Below are 20,268 nucleotides of genomic sequence, written 5' to 3'. Positions count from 1 at the left end.
AGGGCTCTTTTCCCCAGGCCTATCTTAGAAGCGGGGAAGAAAGAAGCCAAGGCTGGCATGTGGCTCACACCTGTAACCCCAGCACTTTGGGAGGCCAAGGTGGGAGGATTGCTTAAGCCCAGAAGTTCAAGACCAGCCTGGGCAACATAGCAAGATCCCATCTCTATTTAGTTTAAAAAACAAAAAACAGAGGGCTGGGGAAAATCTTAATGGCCAAAACATAAAACAAACCTGCGTGCACACAAACGAGACACAATTACAGAAAGCATAGAGCCTGGCTCTCCCCCTGGCCTCAAATCCCCCAGGTTTGAGAGTCATTACTTCTGGGGGATGGTGACTAGAAGGTGGTAGGAGGGAGGCTTCTAGGAGCTGGTGATGGTTCGGTGGTTTCTTCACTTGGGAGCCTGCTCCTGGGTGAGTGCGGGTGAAAAGTCATCCAGCAAGACCTTCGCACTTCTCTGCAGGCAGGTAGGTTATCCTTGAGCCATGGGGATGACAGAAAGCTCCCACTGCTCAGCAGGGGTCCCGGCTCCTGCGCAGGTCTCTACGGACTCTCTCCTGTGACCTGGGCAATGCCCAGCTCTCTCCAGTATTCAGGCTGTGGCGTCCAGCAGGCCGTTATGGGAAGGAAGGGCAAAAGGATCAGAGTAATTGGGATCAGTGACAGCGGCTAAGGTTCATGCAGCAGCAGGGGCTCGGCACCGCCTTCTCGGCCCTCGGCAGTGAGGACTGGCCTTGCCCTCTTTTCCATATGGGCACAGCGAAGTGGGGGATCCTGGCCAAGTCACCCAGCAGGTGCACAGCGCGGCCGGGTTTGAATCAGGTAGCCAACCTCAGAGCCCATGTTTCACCCCTGCCTGTGTGACCCACCCGTTTCCCAAAAACATTCGGCTTTCTGATGCCAGAGTCCCCATGCAGGCTGTCTGTCTGCAATGTCCTTCTGGGCTCTCCCCACCTTCCTCTGCCATGCACCCCTGGCCTGGAGTGTGCTCCTTCCTGGGCAGCCCCTGCTCTGTGCCTGTCCAGTGCTGGAGCTCAGCCCCCCAGGGCTGCCACTGGGCAGTGAAGGCTCTTCAGGACACAGGTTCAGTCCTGCTTGTCTCTATAGATTCCAGGACCCAGGAAATTAGTGAACAGATGAATGCTGTCTGCATGTCAGGCCCTTTCAGCTCCTATCCTGGCTACGACCACCAGAAGCTGACCGAGAAGCTCAAATCCAGAGCCCGCACGTAATGCCAGTATTTCACCGGGATGAACAGGATCTCTCCAGGAGACAGGATGCAGGACAGGAATGGGGCCTTGGCAAACTTGGGGAACTTTTCCAGGTCGGGATTCTCCACGTCAACCTGAAGAAAGCAAAGGACGTCATCATCTCCAGGGGCAGTGGGGAGAACCTGCAACGTCACCCCAGACCCCCAGTGCCCACCTGGCTCGTGTTATGGAGAAGGTGCGTGTCATGAGGGTACAGAGCCCCTGACTCCTGCGGGGAATACAGCCGGATGTACTTCCTCCCCATCACCTGGGGAGAGAGACCCTGACAGTCAGCTGGTGGCCTCACTCCACTGCTGCCCCAAGCCCACTCTGGCCTCTGTGCCCTTCCACATGCTGCTCCCTGGGCCCAGCCTGCCCTTCCCCACCACACACATGCTTATGGTTCCACGTGTATGTTTTTCTTTCTTTTTTATTTTTTAGAGACAGGGTCTCACTCGGTCATCCAGGCTGGAGTGCAGTGGTACGATCATGGCTCACTGCAGTCTCGACCTCCTGGCCTCCAGAGATCCTCCTGCCCCAGCCTCCCCAGTAGTTGGGACTACAGGTATGCCCCACCACACCCAGCTGATTTTTGTATTTTTATTTTTGGTAGAGATTAGGTTTTAATATGTTGCCCAGGCTGGTCTTGAACTCCTGGCCTCAAGTGATCCTCCTGACTCGGTCTCCCAAAGTGCTGGGATTATAGGTGTGAACTACCAAACTTGGCCTAAGGTATGTTTTTCTTCCAAATACATTTTGAAAAATAACTTCATTTTTGGAGCCCACAATTATTAGGCGCTTGTCTGTGCCAGGCACTGCTTAAGTGCTTTATGTGTGTTAACTGGTTTAATCCTCTCTGAGGTGGTTTATCTTCACTCTCATTTTGCAGGTGAGGAAACTGAAGCACAGAGAGATTAAATGAGCTGCCCAAGCTCACACAGCTGAGGTGTGGCAGGGCTGCTGTCTGCGCCAGGCACGCTGGCTCCCGAAGCCCAGCTCTTAGCCCACTCCTGGGCTGCCTCTCTGGACTGGTCTGCTGGGGTAGGAGAACGTTCTCCTTTACTAAACCTCTCTTTGCCTGCGAAAACCAGGGTGGTCTTACAGCAGTAGACAGAGGTGCCTCCCCTTGCAGCAAATCCATCTGCTCCTCTGACTGGGCCTCAGGAAAAAAACCTCCCAGTGACTGAGAAAACTCCTCCCCCAACCTGCCACCTCCTATTTGGAAGCTGGTCTGGATCGCATGGGTAGCAGGCGGGGAGGGGCAGAGGCACCGGGCACCCACACCAGCACTCGCTCCCTCTCCCGAGGGCTCCCCTGTGAGGGATCTTGGGAGGAGCACATGCAGGAGGAGCCGCTTCTGGAAGCACCGACTGCAGAGGCCTTCCTGGGCCTGGGGCCGTTTGTGGGTTTGCTTTATATTTTTGTCCTCATCCCCTTCAGTGCTTCTTGTTTCTTTTTAAGAGCCCGGTGTTTAAAGGCAGAGAATGTGGCCGGCCAGGTGTCTGGGCCAGGAGGAGTTAGAAGGCCACTATTCCAGCTGCAGCTCCAACCTGCACTAGGAAGTTTTGCTGGGGATCCTGATGTAGTGGGGAGATGGTTCCCTGGGGACCAAACCAGGCATTGATGGTGATTTCCTCCTCCTCCCCATCGCCCAGGCTGCAGTAGTCGGGGATGCTGATGTCCTGCTTCAACTCCGGGATCTGTGGGCGGCAGAGCAGACATGAGATGTGGGGATCCGGCTGGGGACACCGCAGCCCGGAGGCCAACGAAGAGTCAGAAACACATACCTATATCCATTATGTGTGTGTGTGTTTGAGACAGGGTCTGGCTCTGTTTCTCAGGCTGGAGTGCAGTGGCGTGATCTCAGCTCACTGCAGCCTCTGCCTCCTGGGCTCAAGTGATCCCCCCACCTCAGCCTCCTTACTAGCTGGGACTACAAGCATGCACCACACCCGGCTAATTTTTTTTTAATTTTTGTTTTTGTAGAGACAGGGTTTCGCCATGTTGCATAGGCTGCTCTCAAAATCCTAGACTTAATTGATCCACCCGCCTCGGCCTCCCAAAGTACTGGGATTACAGGCGTGAGCCACCGCACCCGGCCCTTGCCGTCCTAGTTTTAAAAGCCAGGGTAGGCACAGAGGATTTGTTGCCATACCTGGCAGAAACAGGCTGGGCAGAGAAGAGAAACTGCCTGACGAGAAAGGCAGGTGTGGGCCTGGGTCTGTGCTCTGAGCTTTATATGATGCAGTAAGGGTGGCGCGGCTCCCCATGGCCTCTGACAGAGTTATATGCCACACATCAAGCGATCTTGGATGTTCACGGTGGGGCAGGGCCGCAGTGGCCTGGCCTCCTTTATTTATTTATTGTAATTTTTTTTTTCAAAGACAGTCTTGTTCTGTCACCCAGTCCGGAGTGCAGTGGTACCATCATGGCTCACTGTAGCCTCAACCTGCAGAGCTTAAGCGATCCTCCTGCCTCAGCCTCCCAAATTGCTGGGACCACAGGAGCATGCCACCGTGCCTGGCTAATTTTATTTTTGTAGAGATGGGGTCTTGCTATGTTGTCCAGGCTGGTCCTGCTTGGTCTCCCAAAGTGCTGGGACTACAGGTATGAGCCACTGCACATGGCCCTGGCCTCCTTTACACAAAGCCAGGGTCTCAGAGTGAAAACACACTCACTCTAAGTCCACTTCCTGTCCAGACCCTTAGCAGGCACCTCAGTTACCTCCGGGGTTGAACCCACCAGAGCAGGCCACCAGCCCACACCCCCCAGGCCACCGAGAACCCCAGGGTTCTTCACGGGACCCTGGATGGACCTGGCGGCATTTTTCAAGCTTGAGAGGCATGAAAACAGGGTTGCCAGAGGGACACAGGGCTTTTTAAGAGTCACTGCTCCGCAGCCTGAAGGCACCTGCAGGTGGACACTACCATTCCTTCGGGAGCAGTGACGGTAACTTCAGGCTGCTGGCTCAGAAACCAGTGTGTACCAGGAAAAGCTGGAATGTTCTCCCTGCAGGGAGCTTGGTCCCAGACACTGCTATTCAGACCTTTAAGAACCTGTCTCAAATCAGCTGTGCAGAAACGCAGCCGCGCCTGCTGCTTAGGACTGAAGTACAAGTTCGCAAGCTGAGGTCCCTCCCAGGGCTGTGAGGGGTTCCTCCCAAAGGTAACCCGACGCTGCTGCTTTTGACCAGAACTGGCCCTGTGGAATCTGAGCAGAAACTATGATTGGTCCCTGATGACATCATCAGGATTTCTGAAAGGTGATTGGCTGACCAGATCATGTCATCAGAATCACTGGCCGAGGATGCAGAGACCCGAAGGGAATCAGTGCTCCCGAGATGTGACTAATAACTGAGGCAGGCTTAAACTGATGGCCAAAATCTTCTAGAACACGGGGTCCCTGGGAGAAAAGTCAATAAGAGGTTCTGGGACAAGAATTTGGTAGGAGTCCCTGAGCGTCCTGTAGGTAGAGAAGGTTCTAGAACACTGTCCTTGCCACACGGCATGATAACACCTGGGCATGGGCTGCTGGGACTTCTCCAGGGTCCTCTCCACAGCATGGTAGACACTCAGCTCTGGGACCCAAGGTAAACACCCAGGCGGCCCTCCATTACCCGAAACATCTTTCAAGTCCTGGCTCATCTTGAAAGTCACTGTGAACTTGGCCTTCTACTCCTAAATATAACTCCTCCTGTCCTACAAAGTATGAAACAGCTGCTCCAGGACAGGGAGCCAAGGTTAACCATGGCTTCCAGGGTCCCCAGCCCACACTGAGGCCATGCCCCCAGGATGACCAGGGTCAGGAGAAAGGTGGGTCTCGGGATCACACAGTAGGGACCTGATCAATTAGAATCCCCCTTTCCTTCACTTAGCAAGTGACATGGACAGGACGCAGGATGCACAGGTCCTAATAGGGAGGCCTGGGGAAGAGAAACCGCCAGCGTCCTTTAATGTCGGCATGAAGGCTCCTGGCACAGCCCCTACTGGCCCTGGGTCCCCCATCGAGACAGAGAAGCAGTCCTGGCTTCAGCAGTAGATACAGCAGCTGATCAGCATCCCAGGGCCCCACTGCAAAGGCTACAGAGGTGCGGCCCCAGCCCACCCCTGGCTGTAGCCCTGACCCTGACTGACTCGAGTCTTCCACGTTCGGGACACGCACCTGGCCCTATCCTTGAATCCTGCCAAGGGCTGCCTTCCTGGGCACTCCTGGCAGACACCACACCAGCCAGGTCCCTCCTGGGCGCCCCAGCTCCATCTATTTAGTGTTTTGGGGTCCTGAATCTGGGCATCTTCCCCGATCTTCCCTCCCTCCCCCACACATCCACCCACGTCCAGGGCTCGGTGGTTCACACCGGTCTTGAACTGCTCCACCTGCCAGCATCACCTCTCCTTGCACCACAGCAATAGCCCAGCCAGCCACCCGCTCCGACAGCTGCTCCCTTCATCTCTGAATAGCAGCCCCTACAATCCTCGGGGCACTGGCGACCCCCCAGTGTTTCCTGTCACTTTAGGAAAATGGCTCCTCATCACCCACGTCCTGTCACCTTCCTAGCCTCACCTGCTGCCTCCCTCCTACTCACGCTCACTGCTCCAGCCGCACTGAGCCCAGGAGGGGAGGAGAGGGGAAGGTGAGACGGTGAGGGGCAGAGGTGCGTGGCCTCAGACTTACCTGGTCAAAGAGCTGGTGCTGAGCAAGGTACCCGACGTCCCTTGGCTAATCCACCGGGGAAAACCAGAGGCAACACAGAAAGCCCAGTTAGTCATGACAGATGCCCTCCTGCTGCTGCTGTCCAGCTGGCCCCAGCTGCAGCACCCGTCACCCTTCCACTCCATCCTGAGTGGTCCTCTCCAACCCTTAGAGGCCCTGGGGCAGCTTCAAAGAACCTCTCCAGCACCGGGGTACCCAGTTTGTAAAGCACTGATCTCATCCATCTGATTGGCAAACATTTTCATAAAATGGCAACAAACAGTGCAGGCAAAGATGTAAGAAAATGGACACTTGTGTTAATTGCTGGTGAAAGTATAAGTGATCTAACTTTTGGGAAAAATAAATTGTCCTATCCTGTCCTGTCGTAATTTTGACAGGGCCTGGTTCTATTGTCCAAGCTGGAATGCAGTGGCCTGATCTTGGCTCACTGCAACCTCTGCCTCCTGGGCTCAAGCAATTTGCCCCACCTCAGCCTCTTGAGTAGCTGGGATTACAGGCACGTACCACTATACCCAGCTAATTTTTATATTTTTTATAGAGACAGGGTTTCACTATGTTTCCCAGGCTGGTCTTGAACTCCTGGTTTCAAGTGATCCGCCTGCCTCAGCCTCCCAAAGTGCTGGGATTACAGGTGTGAGCCACCATGCCTGGCTGCTATTAAAAATTTAAATACACATACTCTAGACTTAGCTGTCCAACTTTTGGAACAGGCTAAAACCCACTGAATTATACTCCCCTGCCCATTAAAAAGGACCTGACATGAATCCCTCATGTCTGCTGGCTAAGCAGCCTGCCTTCCTCGCTGCGGTCGTCCCTCCGACCACAGACTTACAGCCTGGCTCCTCCAAAACCTCCCATTACAACACATGGGGGGTTATTTGCCTAAATGTACTATGCTCTCTGCCTTGCAAGTACTAGGGGAAAGCAGTCCCCATGATGTACCTCATTCACGATGTATTTGCTGATGAACTCGTTGACCGTCATGAGGGTCTGGGACCATTCCTCATCTGTGTACCTCGAACCAACTTCCACTGGGACAGTTCGGCAGCCAGCGATCTCCTGGATATACTCCAAACTAGCAGAAAGACACACATTGGCATCGTCACTGCTAATATCTGTTGGGCATAGTACTAAGTGTGCTTTGCATGTGGTCCCCTTTCATCCTCGGAAAACCTCACGTGCAGAGACAAGGACTGTCATCCCCAGCTTCACTGATGAGGAACCGGCATGGAGAGGTGGGGCTCCCTGCTCAAGGCTGTGTGGCTCATACACAGTGCTGTGCAGCTTTGCAGACAGGGCCGGTAAGTCTGGTTGGCTGGGCTGCTCTAGTTCCCTGCTTGCCAACAGCCTCCTCACTTCTTTCTTTGCTCATTTTGTCACTAAGCTGAGAAACCTTTGAACAAATAGCGGACAGCGTGGCAGGTGGCAGTCTCCTGGACTCTGCCCTCTAGCCTGGGACTGATTCCAGGCCTCATCAGTTACAGGCCAGGGGATCTGAGGCAGGTTACTGAACCCGAGTCCTTGATCCCCATTTACAGAATGGGGGTGATGACAACACCTGTCCTAGTGCCAGGTACGTAGTAAAATGCTTAATGAAGCCTTGCTGTGAGGAGAGCTCCTGCAATGAGAATTCCTCCACATGTGTCAGCGGGTACCATTCCCTCCGCGAAACCACAAAACAGGCGGACTCCATCTACCTTCCTGGAGAGATGCCTCCTTATTTCCAAACTCATGCAGAGCCGCGGCATGACAGCCACGCTCCAGCTGCCTGATCTGATCTCCCCATCATGATTCTGAGAAAGGACTAGAAACAAACACAAGAGACCACAGAATCCCTCAGAGAGAGAGGGGCTGTCTCTTGGGTTATTTCTGCTCTTAGCTTCAGGGCCCTGAGATGGTCTGAAATTGCTAGGATCCTGTAAAATTGCATAACAGAAACATTCTAGGACTGCCACTTAGGGACTCATTAAAAAACCGCTTAAGGCGAGCAAGGTAGAAGGTAAGAATCCCATAACCTGCGGCATAAATTCAGAGCACCTTACTTTTCACTCTTTTTTAACCCCTTGGCAATCAGTCAAGGGCTGCTAGTGAAGCATCTACAAGGTTGCATTTCCCTGGGGATGGTCGGGAGGAATTCAGGGAGCCCTGGGGAACGCTAAAATGGGAAAAGGGACCTCACCTCCCTCAGCGACCACCCACCTCCACTTCTGCATGCACGGCCAGTGGTCAGCCACGCCTTTCAGGATCACGGGCCTCCCTGGAACCAAAAACTGCTCCCTGAAATGCTGGAGGGACGGACGGTGCAGCCGGGGGACTGTTTTTTCTAACTTCACATCTGGAATCAAACCATGGTCCGCCCTTGCTTTCTGTTTAAAATCAAAACAGAACAAAATAGCAACCACCTCAGGAAGTCGACATTTGAGGTATTCCACCAGGAACCTGTGTCAGGGGTAGGAGAGCTTAGCTGTCAAGAGTACCAGTAACAACAATAGACAACGTTTGTTATTATTACTGCTACTATTACTATTTGCTCCTCATGAGATCAAGGTGGTTTTTTTCTTAACCATTTCATCAAAAATGTTTGTTTCATTATAAACTGCTTTCACAGACATTCTGCAATAAAGGAAAACTTACTATCTCCAACTTCACCATCTTAAGGTCTTCTCATTCCTATTCTTTTCCCATCTTACACACACACACACACACACACACACACACACACACACACACACGCAAAATATCTCTGACCCACTGGGAGTAACAGCAATGATGAAGCAGCAGCCCTGCCTCTCCCCTCCAATCATTTATCAAAAGCAGTTTCCACATGGCCACCCGGTCCTTACAGTTTCTTAGGAGTGGCTGCACCATCATTTCCTTAACCATCTCCCAGCTGGGTGACCTGAGTAAGTTACTTGCTGCTTGAGAACCTCAGTGTCCACAGGTGTGAACCTGCTGGGAAATGGCCAGCCACACTGGCTCATACCTGTAATCCCAGCACTTTGGGAGACCAAGGTGGAAGGACTGCTTGAGCCCAGGAGTTTGAAACGAGCCTGGGCAACATAGAGAAACCTCTGGCTCTAGAAAAAATTTAAAAAGCTCGGCGTGGTGGTACATGCCTGTAGTCCCAGCCACTCGGGAAGCTGAGGTAGGAGAAATCACCTAAGCCTAGGAGGTCGAGGCTGCAGTGAGCTATGTTTTATTTATTTATTTATTTATTGAGACCGAGTCTTGCTCTGTTGCCCAGGCTGGAGTGCGGTGGCACAATCTCGGCTCACTACAACCTCTGCCTCACGGGTTCAAACAATTCTCCTGCCTCAGCCTGCAGAGTAGCTGGGATTACAGGCATGTGCCAGGACGCCCAGCAAATTTTTGTATTTTTAGTAGATATGAGGTTTCACCATGTGGGCCAGGCTGGTCTCGAACTCTTGACCTCAGGTGATCTGCCGGCCTCAGCCTCCCAAAGTGCTGGGATTATAGGCGTGAGCCACCATGCCCGGCCTGCAGAGAGCTATGATTGTGCCACTGCACTCCAGCGTGGGTGACTGGGCAAGACCCTGTCTGTAAAAAAAATGAAACAAAAGAGCAACCCACACCCCATGCCCTTGGCCACATGGTGCCCTTGGCAACACCGGGTATCATATGAAGCCTTGTTTGCTAACTTAACAGCCAAAGATGAAATGCTGTTTTGCTATTTGCATCTCTCTCTTTTATTTTTTTAACCAGAGGTGAGGCTGAACATTCTCCTGCACATTTGTTTAACAGATCTATTTCCTTCTTGTGAACAGTCTGTTCAGGTTCCTGGATTTCTACCTCCTGGGGCTCAAGATTTTTTCCCTATTGATTTGTACCATTCCTTACGTAATAGAGATATTCATTGTCTGACATATTTGTGGAAAAATTTTCTTCTCCCTTTATTTGATTTTCTTTTATTTTGGTTACATGCCTGTGTGTTTAGTGTCAACCACTTGCATTTTTCTTATATAAAAATAATTTGTGGCTCACGCCTGTAATCCCAGCACTTAGGAGGCTGAGGTGGGTGGATCACCTGAGGTCCAGACAAGCCTGGCCAACATGGTGAAACCCTGTCTCTATTAAAAATACAAAAATTGCCGGGCGTGGTGGTGGGTGCCTATAATCCCAGCTACTTGGGAGACTGAGGCAGGAGAATCATTTGAACCTGGGAGGCAGAGGTTGCAGGGAGCTGAGATTGCGCCACTGCACTCCAGCCGGGGTGACAGAGTGAGACTCCGTCTCAAAAATAATAATAATAATAATATGCATTGTAGGAAATTCGGAAAACATAGCAAAGCATTTAGAAAAATGTCAGAAACATCCCATAATTCCACTACCAAGTGTCTAGTACAGTCTTAGTCATTTCTTTCTGTGGGTCAGTACTCTGCCACTCTACAGACAAGGAAACCGAGGCTCAAAGGAGGTTAAGTGACTTGCTTGGGTGTGTTGCAAGTGAGGCCTGTGTGTTGGCACCAGGACCTGAAGCCTTCAGAGTAAACCATGCTCTGTTCCTGGGGGTGCTCTTTGGAACAGGCACATAGACCCAAGGGGTGGGAGAGATTGACCCCAAAACAGACATCAGCTAGTTGTAGTATCTCATCCAAACCCAGGAGCAGAGAGACAGGAGCAGCTGGAGGTATCGCCTCGCCTGGGTGAGACTTCAGCAAGCCCACCAAGAAGCTGAAAGAAACGGGCTGCCGCTGGCTGCAGCTCTCACCCACACAATCGCTTTAAGCTGTTTCCCTCAGGAACCACGAAGTTTCTCTGCTGCCTCTCTGCTGAAAGGGCGCTGCCTTTGCAAAAAAAAAAAAAAAAAAGAGAGAAAATGAATGGAGCTGTTCCATTTCCAAAGTCAATGGGGGCTGAGCACGGTGGCTCACACCTGTAATCTCAGTGCTTCGGGAGGCCACGACAGGAGGACTGCTTTAGGCCAGGAGTTCCAGATTAGCCTGAGAAACATGAGACCCTATCTCTACAAAAAATAAAAAATAAATAAGAAACTAAAAAAATTAGCTGGGTGTGGTGCCATGCACCCATAGTTCCAGCTACTAAGGAGGCTGAGGCAGAAGGATTGCTTGAGTCCAGGAAGTGGAGGCTGCAAGGAGCCGAGATCACACTACTGCACTCCAGCCTGGGCGACAGAACGGGACCCTGCTTCCAAAAACAAACAGAAATCCAAAATCAATGGCAATGCTGTTTTCCACCAGAGGGGTTGCAGGCCACGAGGCCTCACCCCAGGGGAGAGATGACTCGGAATTTCTAGAACAACAGGGTTGCTGGATGGCTAGTGTGCTTGGGGAGAATCTCCCCCACATACCTTTGTGCAGGGTTGCTCTGGGAGGGAGCCACGGGCAGGCCTCTTTCCAGGGAGGTGTGTCTGGAGGATGGCAGCGACTTTAAGAAGGATGTCCCCCAGGATGGCTGCCCCCATCAGCAGGCCCATGTCACAGACCCGCAGGGCTGCGGCCACAGTGTTGGCATCCTCAGGTGCCTGGCACAGACACAGGGCTTTCAGGAGGCAGCCGATGGCGTAGACCCGGCGCCAGTCTTTGTCTACGTCCTGCCATGTGCCCGTGTTGAGCTTCTCCCAGGAGTAGTCCAGGATCACCTCGCTGCTCTGCAGACACTCGTCCCTCCTGCCCTCGTAGAAGAGCTCAGTGGCTCGCTGCAACAATGTCACCACGCTCCTCTCCACTTTCTCCCCGAGGTCCAACTTCAGGTCTTCTTTACTGTGCGGCAGGAGCGCCCTGAGGGCCTCCCATAAAGTGCCTTCTCTGGCCAGGGGCTCTGCGGGGCAGTGGGTGTCTCCAGCCATCGGGCCACCACCAGCTGGTTCAGTCCCGTGCCTGGGGAGGTGGAGAGAAACAAGAGTTAGACACCAGGACAGACCTGATCCCCTGTGCATTCCCGCAGCTTCCTGCATCTCATCTGCGAGGATTTTTCAACAGCAGTCTTCTCTGTTGGGCAGAAGCTCTGGAGGGGAGGGCCCTCATCTGTCTGGGGTCACCACTGTATCTTCAGGGCCTGGCGCAACACCTGGTACTCAGCAAGCACTGGATAAACGTCTGTTCAGAAAGGAACGTGTATTGTCCTCATCTGCAGTGCCTCCCATACCCCTCCGCTGCCTGGCAAACTCCTACCCAACCTTTAAAGCCCATCTTAAATATCCCTATGTGAGGCCTGCCAAGACTCTCCAACAGTGTTCTGTGTTCCTGCAGCCCTTGAGCTTCTCTTACAGTACTCGTCAGGATGTATGAAAACACCTGCTTACACGTGTGTCTATCCAACACTGCACTGCCAGCTCCACCAGGGCAAGAACGTAGCTCATTCCCCTACGTTTCCCAGAGCCTAAAAGCAGAGTCTGCCTCATGGCAGTCACTCAGGAGTGCCAGGCTTTGAAAAGTATTCGAGAAGGCCGGCATGGTGGCTCACGCCTGTAATCCCAGCACTTTGGGAGGCCGAGGCAATTGGATCACTTGAGCTCAGGAATTCAAGACCAGCCTGGCCAACATGGCAAGACGCCGTCTCTACAAAAAATACAAAAATTAGTTGGGCACGGCGGTACATGCCTGTGGTCCCAGCTACTCAGGAGATTAAAGGTGGTGGGATCACTTAAGCCTGGGGGCAAAGGTTGCAGTAAGCCGAGATCATGCCACCAGCCTGGGTGACAGAGCAAGATCCTGACTCAAATTAAAACAAAAAAACAAAAATGAAGTGACTTGCCCCAAGGCCTACGGTCAATCATTTGTGCAGAAGCAGGGCTTAAATTCTGGCTGATCTCAGCACCCTCTCCTGTGCGCCATGTCAATGCTGCATGCTTGACATAGATTAACACGTCCCTTGCAATCCTATGATGGGAGTTTTACAGATGAATAAACTGAGATTTCGAGGTTAAGCAATTTGTGCCAAACTACACAGTAAGTGGCAGTGTCTGCCCAGAACACTCATTGCCTTCAAGGGTGAGCTCTTTGGACTTTGTATCCACAGGGCTGAGCTTATAATGAGTTCATTTCCATTCTTGGTTCACAATGAACTTTCTTTCTAGCAAGCTCAGGGTATGGTAGGGCTCAGAGAGCCCCAGCCTGCCAGGGTGGGTTCTATCTCTAGCCTCCTAGAAGGCTTGTGTTGGCCTCATTCACAGCCTTCTTGGAGCGTTTCACAGTCCAATTTCCAGCATGGACTTATCCACTAGGCCAGCACAAGACACCACATGGGCCCATCCCTGGCCTCCCTGGGTGGCCTCCTGGCTCATCCCGTGTGTGGCTTACATGAATCTTATAGAGCAACATGGAGAAGTCTCATCTTGAGCATCCAAAAGACCTCAGGGGCCTCATATCCTGGCTTCTCATAAAGGCCAGTGGAAAGGCCTCCCAGGAGACCATTTATTGCCCTACTATAAAACTGGCTTCCACTGGGGCTCTATGTACCAGCTTTGTAAACCTGTCTCTTGATGGCCTTAGAAAACAGCCTCCCAGAGGGTTTCAAATGGGCTATAAACCTGTTCTCTGCAATGCAGATTACGGGCTTTGTAAATTGGTGTTTCAGGGTGACCTTATAAAACGGCCCCTCACAGGGCGCCTATCAGCCTTACCAAGCCAGCTTCTCAAGGTGGCCTCACGTGTGCGGCTTTGTAGCCAGGTTCCCCCAGTGGCCCCGTGTCTGCTTTGTCACCTGGCCTCCCAGGGTGGCCTCATGTTTGGTCTTCATAGGCGGCCTATCTGCTACTTTGCAAATCGGCCTTGGAGACCTCATGTTGAAGGCCAATGGACACAGCCTTCTGGGAAAGATGGCCTCCTAATACTGTGAGTTGGCTGTACAAAACTATCTGCTCTTGGCCACATGAAATAGCCTTATGATTATTCTTTAATGCAGAGTTCTTCAATGAACGGCCTTATCAAAAGGCCTTCAGAGATACTTACGTTGACAATATATGATGGTTTTCCAGAGACAGAGGCTTCAGGATGGCTGTATAAGTTTGTTTTCAAAATGGCTTTTCAGATTGCCTCTGTATAAGCCACTTGAAATGGCCTCCCCAAAGGCCTCAAGATTATTATACACTATCCCCCAGCAGGGCACCTATAATCCCAGCTACTCGGGAGTCTGAAACAGGAGGACTGCTTGAGCCCAAGAATTCGAGACCAGCCTGGGCAACATGTAAAGACCCTGTCTCTAAAAACAATTAAAAAATTAGTTAGCTGGTCATGGTGGCACACACCTGTAGCCCCAGCTACTCCGGGAGCTGAAGCAGGAAGATTGCTTGAGCTCAGGAGTTTAAGGCTGCAAGTGAACTGTGTTTGTGCCTCTGCACTCCCATCTGGGTGACAGAGTGAGACCCTGTTTCAAAAAATAAAACTATAGCCTCCTACAAGGCCTTATGTTGGCAGCATGGTGAAGTGGCATTCTGGCCGCATCAGTCTTCTGCCTTGTTGCATAGGCTTCCCCAAACCTCTCATGATTTGGCCTTTTATGTAGTTACCATATCAAACAGCCACATCCTGGTATAGGAAGCAGTCTTCCAAAGCAGTTTTGTGAGATGGAGTCTTGCTCTGTCACCCAGTCTGGAGTGCAGTGATGCGATCTCGGCTCACTGCAAACTCCACCTCCCAGGTTCAAGTGATTCTCCTGCCTCAGCCTCTGAGTAGCTGGGACCACAGGCACGCATGCCATCACGCCCGACTAATTTTTGTATTTTTAGTAGAGACGGGGTTTCGCCATGTTGGCCAGGCTGGTCTCCAACTCCTGACCACAAGTGATCCACCCACCTCAGCCTCCTAAAGTGCCGGGATTACAGGTGTGAGCCACCACGCCCGGCCCTTGTAACTTGTTTTAAAAACTGGCCTTCCTATAGATGGGGGCTTGTCTGAGGACCAGGTGAAGTCAGATTTTGTCTTAGTTTTACAAATCGATCTGTGGTTTCTTCATTGTGCCAGGAAAGAATTGTTTGTTGTGTCCATCTACCCCGCTGGGAGCAGCCTCACATTGGCTCCTGTTAGCCATGCAAAATGGCCTTACAGAAGGAGTCTTGGTCTGGCTGGGGAAACACTCTCTTGCTGGCTGTATGAAACAATCTTCCAGGGTCACTGGCCTCATGGGCTATGAGAAGCAGCCTTCACACCACCAACCACTTGAGATGGCCCTCCTGGGAAGGTCAGGTGCGAGCCACAGGTCACTGCCTTTCTGAATGGCCTCAGGTCCAGGCTCATCAGCCTTCTGGCATTTCCCATATACTGGTCTGATAAAAAGGCTTCTTGTTGTATCAAGAGGTTTTCTAGAGGAAAGGACTAGCCAGAGTAGCCTTATGGCCTGGCTTTATTGATTGGCTTCCCAGAACTCCTCACTGAATTGCTGTTTATAAAGTCTTATATTAAGGCCACGTGCATCGCTCACGCCTGTCATCCTAGCACTTTGGGAGGCTGAGGAGGGTGGATGACCTGAGGTCAGGAGCTCGAGACCAGCCTGGCCAACATGGTGAAAACCCATCTCTAATAAAAATACAAAAATTAGCCAGCGTGGTGGTCCACGCCTATAATCCCAGCTACTCGGGAGGCTGAGGTAGGAGAATTGCTTGAACCTGGGAGGCAGAGGTTGGGGTGAGCTGAGATCTAGCCACTGCACTCCAGCTTGGGTGACAGAGCAAGAGTCTGTCCCTCCCGAAAAAAAAAAAAAGCACACGCACACAAAAGGCTTACATTAAACAAACAGGCTTCCAAAGGAGGGAGTCAAGAATAAGATGTGTGACTTGCCAGTTCCCTGCAAGAAGAAAAAAGATGTGTGAAGCAGTCTTTGAGAGTGGTGCCACAGACTGGCCTTCGAGAGCTCTACATAAAAGGGTTTATTGGGAGTTGTACAGATAGCCTTCTAGTGGCCAGGTATAGGTGGGTCATCCAAACCAAGATGCTATTAATATTTATGTCTGCATCAGTAAAAAACTGGTGTTATTCTAGGCAAACTGACACCTACCGTAACCCAAATGTGGGCCATATCAAAAAGCCTGAGTGGCCTCGTATCTTCACTTTACAAATCAGTCTCCCAGAGCTCAACAGGTATTGGCCTTCAAAGACCTCTTGTTGATCACAGAAGGTTTTTTTATTTTTATTTTTTTTGAGACAGAGTCTTTCTGTCACTCAGGCTGGAGTGCAATGGTGCGATCCCGCCTCACTGCAACCTCTGCCTCTCAAGTTCAAGCAATTCTCCTGCCTCTGCCTTCTGAGTAGCTGGGATTACAGGTGCCCGCCACTGTGCCTGGCTAGTTTTTCTATTTTTAGTAGAGACGGGGTTTCACTCTGTTGCCCAGGCTGGTTTTGAACTCCTGACCTCAGGGTGATCTGCTTGGCTTCCCAAAGTGCTCAGATTACAGGTGTGAGCCGCCACGCCCGGCCCAGAGAAGGCTTTATTTATTTTTGTGGGGAGGGGGGCGGTCAGGTATAGAAACAGCTTGAGTGGGCTTATGTCCTGGCTTTGTGAACTGGCCTCATAACCTGGAACAGCTTTCAGGGGGAGATCAAGTGTGGGTTGCATAAAACAGCTTTTGAGTGGACTTGATTCAGCCCCTAAATGCTCCTTACATAAAGTCTTGTCTGCTGGTGTATGAAATGATCTTGCAAAGAAGGTCAGAATATAGGCTGTTATGTGCTAACCTCTGAGTGGTTTTTCTCCTGGATTTATAAATAAGACTAAAATGAATCTTATAAAAGCCTTCTTGTTGGTCGTACTAAACAAAAAGGAGCCAAGTATAACCTGTATAAAACAGCCGGAATAGACTCAGGCCTGGACTTTATAAATTCACCATCCAGGCAGAATTCACTATGCAAACTGGCAAAGTAGGTCCCTGGTAGGTTATGGGATATATCCCTCTTGGAAGCCACTGCCCTGTCATCCTAGGATTCTCTCAAATTATTTTTATTATTTTTTTTGAGACGGAGTCTCGCTCTGTCACCCAGGCTGGAGTGCACTGGCCCAATCTTGGCTCACTGCAACCTCCGCTTCCCAGGTTCAAGCAATTCTCCTGCCTCAGCCGCCCAAGCAGCTGTGATTACAGATGTGCACCACCACACTCAGCTAATTTTTTATTTTTAGTAGAGACGGGGTTGCGCCATGTTGGTCAGGCTGGTCTTGTGAACTCCTGACCTGAAGTGATCGGCCTGTCTCGGCCTCCCAAAGGGCTGGGATTACAGGTGTGAGGCACCGCGCCCAGCCTTAAATTATTTTTAAACATCAACTCCTCTAAAGCACCTCCCTGAGTATTCTTTAAGGTGGCTGGGTGGAATGGCCTCTCCGAGAGCCTCACTGTGATTTGCAGAGGGTCTCAGGGTGGGCACTCTGCAAGCACCATGCTGGTCATGAGAAAGCCTCCCAAAAGGGGCTTCCAGGACAGATCAGCCTACACCTAGCTTTCTGGGAACAGGCGGTCCAGTTCTCTAATCTCCTCAATGTTATTATGGCAGTATTCCACAAAAATTGTGCAAAAACAAGAGCTTCGTAAAACTTCCCAGGAAAGTTTGGAACATTTTCCAGAAAGCTTTAATTCATGGCACAGGGATCCCTTTGGCTCTCTAAGGGGCACACAGTCTTGTGTTTGGGTCGTCCGTGTGGCCCCAACGCCTGCGCACCTCCTGTCCCCGGGCTTGCTCCCGAGTCCTCCTGAGCACGGCGATTCCTACCGTTGCCGGGAAACGCACCGATGCCCATCGTTAAGTCCTACCGAGCTACAAGCACCTTTCCTTAGGGCAGTCACACACCCAGGCCCCAGAGGGTCCCCCGTACCCCGCACTGGCCTTGAGCCCCGAGGCCTCAGACCCCCTTCCCTCCTCAGCGCCTTCCCCGGGGCTGCATTTCTCGCGGCTCATATTTGGGACCTGACGGCGGAATCGTTTCCAGCCTGCCTTGCGGCCCAGGGGCAGCGGCTGGTTGCCTAAAAGCAGCGGACACACATATAGCAGAGTATAAAACCCGCGCAGGCGCACTAGGCCTACACCAACGCGACGCCAAGAACCGCTAAAGCGCACAGCAGCCCGCCGTAAGGGCCTGCCCTCACGCATGCGCAAAACCACTGCCAAGAGACGAGCATACGCACGCGCGGAACCTTTCCCTTTATCCTCCCGCAGGGCAGGCCGGCGACGAGCTAAATTGCATTCTCAGAGCGCATGCGGCAACTCGAGCCACCCTCGGGGTTTTCCAAGGCGCACGCGCGAGGCCGGGCTTGGCTGCTTCACATGACGCCTGCGCGGTCTATGCCTCTGAACCCGGCCTCTCCACTTCTGAGGAACTGGAGCTGACTCCGCTCTCGAGTTGCTCAGACTAACCTCTCTTCAGCTGGGACGGTGTCGAGTCGCCTTTGGGCTGGCGAAGACTCGTTGCGTTTGGTCCGACCACTCGGCTGTGTCCCCTGAGGAGCCAGAGGCTAGCATAGGAGTATCGATCGCTCACCGCTCGTCTGATCACGACGCAGTGCCTGGAGGAGCGCCGAGTGATCGATGCCGTGGCCCCGCCCCACTGCTGTTTAAAAGGCCGGGGGATGGAGAAGACAGAAAGGCTTGGCTGTATCCTCTGGGTCCTTCCACGCTAGTGATACCGCTTTTTCCTCTGCACAGATAACAACTTCGTACAAGGCTGTTTGCATCCACCATTTAATCTCTGCAGCTAGGATTATTAGTTCTCCCTATTTTACAGAGAGCGAAACTGAGGCTCAGTGATTAAAGTGGCCACATACTTGTACTTTTGGAAAGTCAGATCCACAATTACCCACGAGCAAGTGCTGCATCCACAGTCTGTTCGAGTGAGAAGGCAAGTGGCCAGGGGACACACTCCTGCCACCTTTGCTTTGATGCCGAGTGGTGCGTGGTCACTGGGACTTTTGTGTTTTGAGCACACACTCCTGTGGACTCCAAGTATGCACGCCTTTTGCAGCATTGCACAGAGGCATGGAAAGTTATGTTCGTACTGAGCTTGGGGTCTGAGTAGGAAACAGGCTTGCTCAGGATCAGTTCATAGATTAGTGGATTCTAGGTACGGTGCTAAAATACTTTAAAAATATGAGGATCGTAGCTATTGTAATGATCATGCTCATCCCCATTTTAGGGAGTGTATTAGTCCGCTTTCATGCTGCTGATAAAGACATACCCGAGACTGGGCAATTTACAAACAAAAAGGTTTAATGGATTCACAGTTCCACATGGCTGGGGAGGCCTCAAAATCATGGTGGAAGGTGAAAGGCACGTTTTACATGGTGGAAGACGAGATAATGAGAACCAAGTGAAAAGGGAAACCGCTTATAAAACCATCAGATCTCATGAGTCATATTCACTACCAGGAGAACAGTATGAGGGGAACCTCCCCTATCATTCAGTTATCTCCTACTGGGCCCTTCCGCAACACGGAATTATGGGAGCTACAATTCAAGATGAGATTTGGGTGGGGACACAGCCAAACCATATCAGGGAGGGAGCAAGTAAAGCACAGAAAGATCTCCTAACCCACCAGGCTCACTGGGATGCTGGTGTTTGAACTCAGCAGCCACAGGTTTAGAATCCTCATGGTTATGTGCTACACTAAGTTTCCACCCTTGAGTAGTGACAATGTTGAATTTTCCCTGAGTCTTGTGTCCCCGGAAAAAAGTAAAAAGGAATTGCTCTCACCCTTTTGTGTTGTGGAAAAAAGTTTACTGCAAAGAATCACCCCCCACCCCCACAAGAGAATTTAGATAAGACTCCAAGACACCACCCCCATTGTTTACCTGTGAGAGCAGGTAAACAGGACACAGACCCTCCAATTCTCATTCATTGTCTTATAAGTGATTACCTGAACTGCTTGTCCCACTAATCAATCCTTATAAAACGCTGGTCAACCACTTTGGTTAAGATTCTTTCCTTCCTCCAGGCCCCTGAACTTTGGCTCACCCTGGGCCTGGGCCAGCAGACAGCCCCTCCTCAGAATAGGCTGGCCTCAGGTTGATATATTCTCTGATCTACTAACCCATCATGTCACCCTTTCACCCCACTTCCAGGTTCTTTCTAGCCTTGTTTTCTTCTTCCTATGAAAGAAAAGCTCTTTTTGGCCTAACCCTTGTGGCCACAGTGTACTCTCTTTTGCAAGTCTCCCTTCCCCTGTTATAATAGTCCCTCCTGGCCAGGCGTGGTGGCTCACACCTGTAATCCCAGCACTTTGGGAGGCCGAGGCGGGCGGATCACGAGGTCAGGAGATTGAGACCATCCTGGCTAACACAGTGAAACCCCGTCTCTACTAAAAATACAAAAAATTACCCGGGTGTGGTCACGGGCACCTGTAGTCCCAGCTACT

At 51.6% G+C, this 20,268-nt stretch overlaps 1 protein-coding gene across 8 annotated transcripts, besides 2 other annotated features; it reads right to left on the bottom strand.

Moving 5' to 3' along the window:
• Window positions 1–143: 143 nt before the first annotated feature.
• Window positions 144–18,386, bottom strand: KDM8 (lysine demethylase 8). Of its 8 annotated transcripts, none has more exons than NM_024773.3 (8): window positions 18,276–18,386; window positions 11,291–11,819; window positions 8,161–8,327; window positions 6,904–7,036; window positions 5,923–5,967; window positions 2,802–2,951; window positions 1,427–1,519; window positions 144–1,346 (listed from the first exon to the last, which is right to left on the bottom strand). In NM_024773.3, exons 2-8 carry the CDS (start codon window positions 11,786–11,788, stop codon window positions 1,182–1,184), a joined length of 1,251 nt encoding a protein of 416 aa, NP_079049.2. In that variant the 5' UTR covers window positions 11,789–11,819; window positions 18,276–18,386; the 3' UTR covers window positions 144–1,181. The 8 variants fall into 8 exon arrangements, with proteins under 8 accessions (NP_079049.2, NP_001138820.1, XP_016879165.1 ...); NM_001145348.2 differs by lacking the exon at window positions 18,276–18,386 and adding an exon at window positions 17,737–17,937; XM_017023676.2 differs by lacking the exon at window positions 1,427–1,519.
• Window positions 4,439–5,231: an enhancer, noted in NCBI's record as "H3K27ac-H3K4me1 hESC enhancer chr16:27228002-27228794 (GRCh37/hg19 assembly coordinates)". NCBI's record gives its function as "activates a minimal SCP1, AML or CMV promoter by ChIP-STARR-seq in primed H9 embryonic stem cells {active_cell/tissue: H9 hESC(primed)}" and the evidence as "EXISTENCE:reporter gene assay evidence [ECO:0000049][PMID:30033119]".
• Window positions 18,182–18,341: an enhancer, noted in NCBI's record as "active region_10610". NCBI's record gives its function as "activates an Ori minimal core promoter by ATAC-STARR-seq in GM12878 lymphoblastoid cells {active_cell/tissue: GM12878}" and the evidence as "EXISTENCE:reporter gene assay evidence [ECO:0000049][PMID:35858748]".

Source organism: Homo sapiens, chromosome 16 (assembly GCF_000001405.40).
Source record: "Homo sapiens chromosome 16, GRCh38.p14 Primary Assembly".
In the NCBI taxonomy this organism is placed as follows: Eukaryota; Metazoa; Chordata; class Mammalia; order Primates; family Hominidae; genus Homo; species Homo sapiens.
The sequence above is the reverse complement of the archived record's forward strand: the minus strand, read 5'-3'. Positions and strand labels throughout refer to the sequence as shown.

Excerpts from the sequence above, each read along its gene's own strand:
- KDM8 (NM_001145348.2), bottom strand. The coding sequence starts at position 17,819 with ATGAGCCGCGAGAAATGCAGCCCCGGGGAAGGCGCTGAGGAGGGAAGG. Across the intron at positions 5,968-6,903 it reads GCAAATACATCGTGAATGAG|CCAAGGGACGTCGGGTACCT; the intron begins GTACATCATGGG and ends CCGGTGGATTAG. Across the intron at positions 1,520-2,801 it reads AGCAAAACTTCCTAGTGCAG|GTGATGGGGAGGAAGTACAT; the intron begins GTTGGAGCTGCA and ends CTCTCTCCCCAG.